Genomic DNA, 6,101 nt, shown 5'->3' with positions numbered 1-6,101 from the left:
GAGTGCCCCCATATCCAGCACAGGCTTAAAAAAGTCTAGAGGCTGGACTCTTTCACCAACTGTCCCCCTTTTAGGGAATCTATAATAAAGAGCATGAAGGTGACTCAACAATATCTGGTGGGAAATTCTGAATAGCTTCACTATGGCAGCAACCTGTGTATTGCGTTTACATTCTCTTAATGGTTTCTTTTGATGGACAGAAGCCCGGTTATTAATGTAGTTCAGTTTACAAATCTTTTACTTTTTGCCTATAAAATCTTCTGCTCCAAAGTCAAAAAGGTATCTCCTATGCATTCTTCTAGTAGGTTTATTGTTTTACTATTCTCCTTTAGAATTACAATATACCCGGGATCTTTTTTTAGTTAGGAATCAAATTTTATTTTTTTCCACATAGATATTTGGTATAGCCATATTCATACAGAAAAAAAAATTCTATATGCCAGCATTGTCAGAAATAAATTCTCCAAATATGTATGGATCTGCTTTCAGACTTTCTATTTCTGTTACATTTGTCTATTTTCCTGTCCTTGTGCCTTGTGTCTGATTTACTATAGATCATATAACTTGTTTTAATAAATCAGTTTACTGATGTATAAGTTATATCCAATAGGGTTTACCTATTTTAAGTATATAATTTGATGAGTTTTGACAAACATATATAGTTTTCTCAATCCCTGTGATTAAGATACATCACCAAACCCATGTTCTCCTAGTCTCCTATGATATCTTCTAGACGTTTTATAATTTTGTATTTTACATTTAGGTCTATGATCCATTTGGAGTTAGCTTTTGTGAAACATGTAAGATCTGTGTCTAGATTCATGGTGTTTTTTTGCACATAGATGACCAGTTGTTCCAGCATCATTTGTTGAAAAGGTCATTATTTCTTCCATTGAATTGCCTTTCTTCCTTTGTCAAAGATCAATTAACTACATTTGTGTGGGTCTATTTCTGAGCTATTTTGTTCTATTAACCTATTTATTTATTCTTTCACTAATACCACACTGCTGTGACTAATGTAGCTTTACAGTAATACTTGAAGTCAGATAGTATCAGTCCTCTGAATTTCTTCTTCTCCAGTGTTGAGTTGACTATCCTGGTTATTTTGCTTTTCCATTTACACTTTAGAATCAGTTTGTCCCTATATAGAAAATGACTTGCTGAGATTTGAACTGAGATTGCATTGACTCTATATCAAGTTGGGGAGAGCTGACATTATAACTACATTGAGTCTTTCTATCAATAAACTGGACATTTTCTCAATATATTTAGATCTTCTTTGATTTCTTTTTTGAGTTTTATAGTTTTCCTTCTATAGATCTTTTATGTATTTTCTTAGATTTGTGCCTAAGTATTTAATATTTTGGTTGAAATTTAAATAGTGTTGTGTTTTGAATTTCAAATTCTAATTGCTCATTGCTAGTATATAGAAAATAAATTGACTTTAGTACATATTCTGCAACCTTGCAATAATCACTTATTACTTTCAAAGGCTTTTTTGTTGATTCTTTGAGATTTTCTACATGCACCATTCTGTCATTCATGAACAGTTTTATTTATTCCTTCCCAATCTTTATATCCTTTTTTTTTTATTTTCTTGCTTTACTGAATTACCTAGGACTTCCAGTCTCATGTTGAATAAGTGTGGCAAGAGGGGGCATTCTTGCCTTTTTCTTAATTGTTGACAGAAGGCTTCTTATTTCTCTCTATTAAGTATGATGTCAATTGCTAAAAATAATAGATTTTTAACAGTATACATGGAATATTTATCAATATAGATAATATTCTGGATAATACCACATGTATCAATAAATTTAATAGAATCCATATCATACAAAGTATGGTCTCTGACCAAAATGGAATTAAACTAGAAATAATAACAGAAATATATTTGAAAAATTGCCAAGAATTTAGAAACTAAAAGCACACTGTTAAATAACTAATGAGTCATAGAAGAAATGAAAAGGGAAATTAGAAACTTTTTAACAAAATGAAAGCATGATACATCAAAATTTATGGGATGCAGTTAAAGCAGCGCTAGGAGAGAAACTTGTAACAGTAAATGCCTACAGTACAAAAATAGTCTCAAATTAATGCCTTAAGGTTTCACCTTTAAAAATAGAGAAACACAAATAGTAATAATGATAAAATGGAGAAATAATACATATAAGAGCACAAATCAATAAAATAGAAGCAAATAAACAGCAGAGAAATTCTATGAAGAAAAAGCTGTTTCTTTGAGATTAATAAAATCAATAAACCTCTTCACATGCCGATCAGAAACAAAAGAGAGATGACAAAAATTATTAACACCAGAATGGGAAAGGAAATTGACTACAGATTCTATATATATTAGAATATAGAAGAAAAGAAACAAAATCAAATATTATGAAACACTTTATGACAATAAAATTGACAGCTTACATGAAATGGACAAATCCTTTGAAGGGCATAAACTATCAAAATTCATTCAAGAAAAAATAAATAACTTGAATAACTCTATACCTGTTAAAATCATTAAATTTATAGTGAAAAACCTTCACACAAAGAAAACTTCAGGCACAGATGGTGTTATTTGTGAATGTTATTAAACATTTGTTGAAGAAATAATAGCAATTCCACACAAACTCTTAATAAAAAAATGAAGAGGAAAGAATACTTCACATCACATTTTATGAGGCTTCCCTTCCTCAAAGTAGTTAAAAAGACATTACAAGAAAAGAAAGCTACAGACATATATCCCTTAACATAGATGAAACAATTTTGAACAATGTTTTAACAAATTAACTAACATATAAAAACGATAATATATCTTAACCAAACTGATTTTATATTGAGAATGCAAGTTGGATTTAACATTTGAAAAATCAGTCAACTTATAATTCTCTATATTAACAAACTAAAAGATAAAATTATGATCTTCTCAATAGACAAGAATAAAGCAATTGAGAAATCCAAAACTCTTTCACTACAAAAACATTCTACAAATTATTATTAGTAATAGAAGGGGACTTCCTCAGCCTGATAAAGAGCATCTATGAGAAATCCATGTCTAATATTTTATGTAATGATGAAAGACGAGTGTTTTTTTTTTCCTAAATTAGAAAGAAGGCAAGGATGTCCACGCTCACCATTTCTATTTGACAGTGTACTGGAGGTTCTAGACAGGCCAATTAGGCAAGATAAAGAAATAAATGTCATCTATTTTAAAAAATAATTTTTGTTTCTATATACTAGCAATAAACCATCTGGAATTTAAAGGCATAAAACAATAGCAATTCCAATAGTATCAAATTATGAAATGCTTAGGGATAAATCAAATACAATGTGAACAAGACATATTAACTGAAAATTCTAAAGCATTGTTGAGATAAATGAAAGAAAGATCTAAATAATAGAAATACGTTATTTCTTTTGTCTAAACACAACATACAGTGAAAACATCAATTCTCCCCAAATTTTTCTATAAATTGACTTCAATCCCAACAAAACTAACAGCCTTTTCTTTGCAGACTTCACAAGTTAATTATAAAGTACATATGGAAATACAAATTACCTGGAATCGCCAAAATAAATTTGATAAGAAAGAACAAGTTTGGAAGACTTACATTTTCTAATCCCAAGACTTATTACAAAGCTACGGCAATCAAGATTGTGTTATATCAGCATCAAGATAGACAAATAGGTCAATGGAACAGAATAAAATCCAGAAATAGACCCTTACATACATGAACAACTGATTTGCAATAAAGCTACAGAGGCATAGGAGTGGAGGAAATATAGCCTTTTCAACAAATTTTGCTTTTAAAATTGGCTATCTATATACCAATCATATCCATATGAGTTATGAACTTTGATCTATACCTCATACTACATATAAAGATTATCTTTAAATAGATAAGAGACCAAAATGTAAAACCCCAAACTATAATATTTCTAAAATAAAACAAAAGAAAATGTTTACAACCTATAGATTTCTTAGACATGACAATAAAACCATGATAAAAAAATAGGTTTTATGAAAATTAAAATCTCTGCTCTTCAAAATACATTGTTAAGAGAATGAAATACAGGGCATATGCCAGAAGAAAATAATTGCAAATCATTAAGGACTTTATAAGGATCATATAAATAAATCATAAAACTCCATAATGAGAAGGCAAACATTCAATTAAGAATAGGCAAAATATTTGAAGAGACACTTCGCCAAAGAAGATATACAAATCACAAACAAATATAAAAATGAATATCATTACTCATTACGAAGATGCCAAATAAACCACAATAATATATAATTACACATCTATTAGCATGGATATAAGTCCCACATCCTGGGAAACTCCTCAGTCCCAGGAAAACCTGAATGGTTGGTCACTCTAAATTACAATTAAATAGAATTTTATAAAATGCAGACTAATCTGTTAATGACAAATTATGTCAGGTATTACCTAGGAATGGAAGGTGAGGAGGGATCTAGGGAGTGAGGAATTACGCAGGGGCACAAGGAAACTTTAGAGTGTTGTAGAAGTGTTAATTCTCTTGATTGTAATGATGGTTTCAAGGATGTATACGAAGGTCAAAAAGCATAATACTGTATGCTTTAAACTTGCGTAATTTATTGTATGTTAATTTACCTCACAATGTTGTTAAAAATAAATGTACTGACTTGGCTGTATCGTGAAGGTCTCATATGTGTTTCTTTCATTAAGTTCTGGTAATTTTATATTTCCATTGTGATTTCTGATTTAAATCATAAGTTATTTAGAAGCATGTGTTTAATTTTTTAAAATATGGTCATTTCTATTTATCACTTTTATTATTAGTTTCTTACCTAGTTTTGTGGTAATAAGAGATCAATCTGTATGATACCTAATTCTTTGAAGTTTAGTAAGGCTTTCATTACAGCCTAGATCATCATCATTGCTTTTTGGTACATTTTTCACGGATGAGAAAAATCTGTATCCTATAATTGTTGGCTAAAACTTTACATATGTCCATAGATCAAGCCAATATGACTTTCTCTGTCATTCATGAAACCAGTCCTTCTCAATCTCGTTAGACTTGATAACTCTCTTTACTTTGTGCTAATTAGCATATGTTTTCTATTACTATTGCGACATTTATTCACAAAAATATAATATCACTTGTTTGCTGAGCTTTTACACTGTATTTTAATGAGGAAAGAGAATTCTTCCTTAGTATCAGAAATTCCCATTATGAAAAACTCCTATCTGTACCCTATTGGCAGGAGTAGTGCTCATGGCTATACTTATAACCCTGTGGAGGTAGCTAACAAAACACCGGATGTCTCCATCTAATTAAAGAAGAAAAACAGGGCCTCACAGGAGGCACTAAAGCTGGGTAAGCTGGAAGTCAGGACTGCTGTGAAGCGGGATTTAATAGGATCTGGTGGTACAGCCTTTTAATAAGAGACACCTAGTGCTGCTTCTCTCCTCTCTCCACCCAAATCCTGGCATCCTCAAGAAACCATGATGCTTGTGGATACTACACACTTCTTAGTTGAGGTGAAGTGCACAGGGTGATGAGAAGAGTGTCCTGGCTGATGGGAACCAGGGTTCACAGCCCCATGGAGACATCTCTTTTCCTGAAAAGAAGTATGCTATTTACAAAGTCTAGTAATACCTGATTGAGTCTTGTGCTTAGCCCCTGAGGCCAATGATCAGCAAGAGGATAGAGTTGGCAGCTTGGCATCTAGCAACGGCCCAGATATGCTCAGCCCAAAGAATTGTTTCTGAAAGCCCACTTAGCTACATTCGTCAGTCTTTTGACTGACCTCTGCACAGTTTCCAGCGACTGGCATTAACTGCAAAGCACCCTGTGGGTAGACTTGACAAGCCAAATCTCCAGTTGCACTATCTCTGCATGTTTAAATTGCCTTAGGTAATATTTCCTCCTGACATTCTAGATCTGACAAAGCTTTGTAGAGGAAACTTCTCCTTCAGTATTACAAGCTTCTATGAGCTCAATTATAATCATGTATATTGTCATGAGAAGTTCTAATGATAATTTTCAGAGTTATTATTGTAATACTTAATCCTAATAGCAATTGTTAACAAGGGTGATAACCACAGGGACCTCAC

Source organism: Homo sapiens, chromosome X, assembly GCF_000001405.40.
Source record: "Homo sapiens chromosome X, GRCh38.p14 Primary Assembly".
Taxonomy (NCBI): Eukaryota; Metazoa; Chordata; class Mammalia; order Primates; family Hominidae; genus Homo; species Homo sapiens.
The sequence above is the reverse complement of the archived record's forward strand: the minus strand, read 5'-3'. Positions refer to the sequence as shown.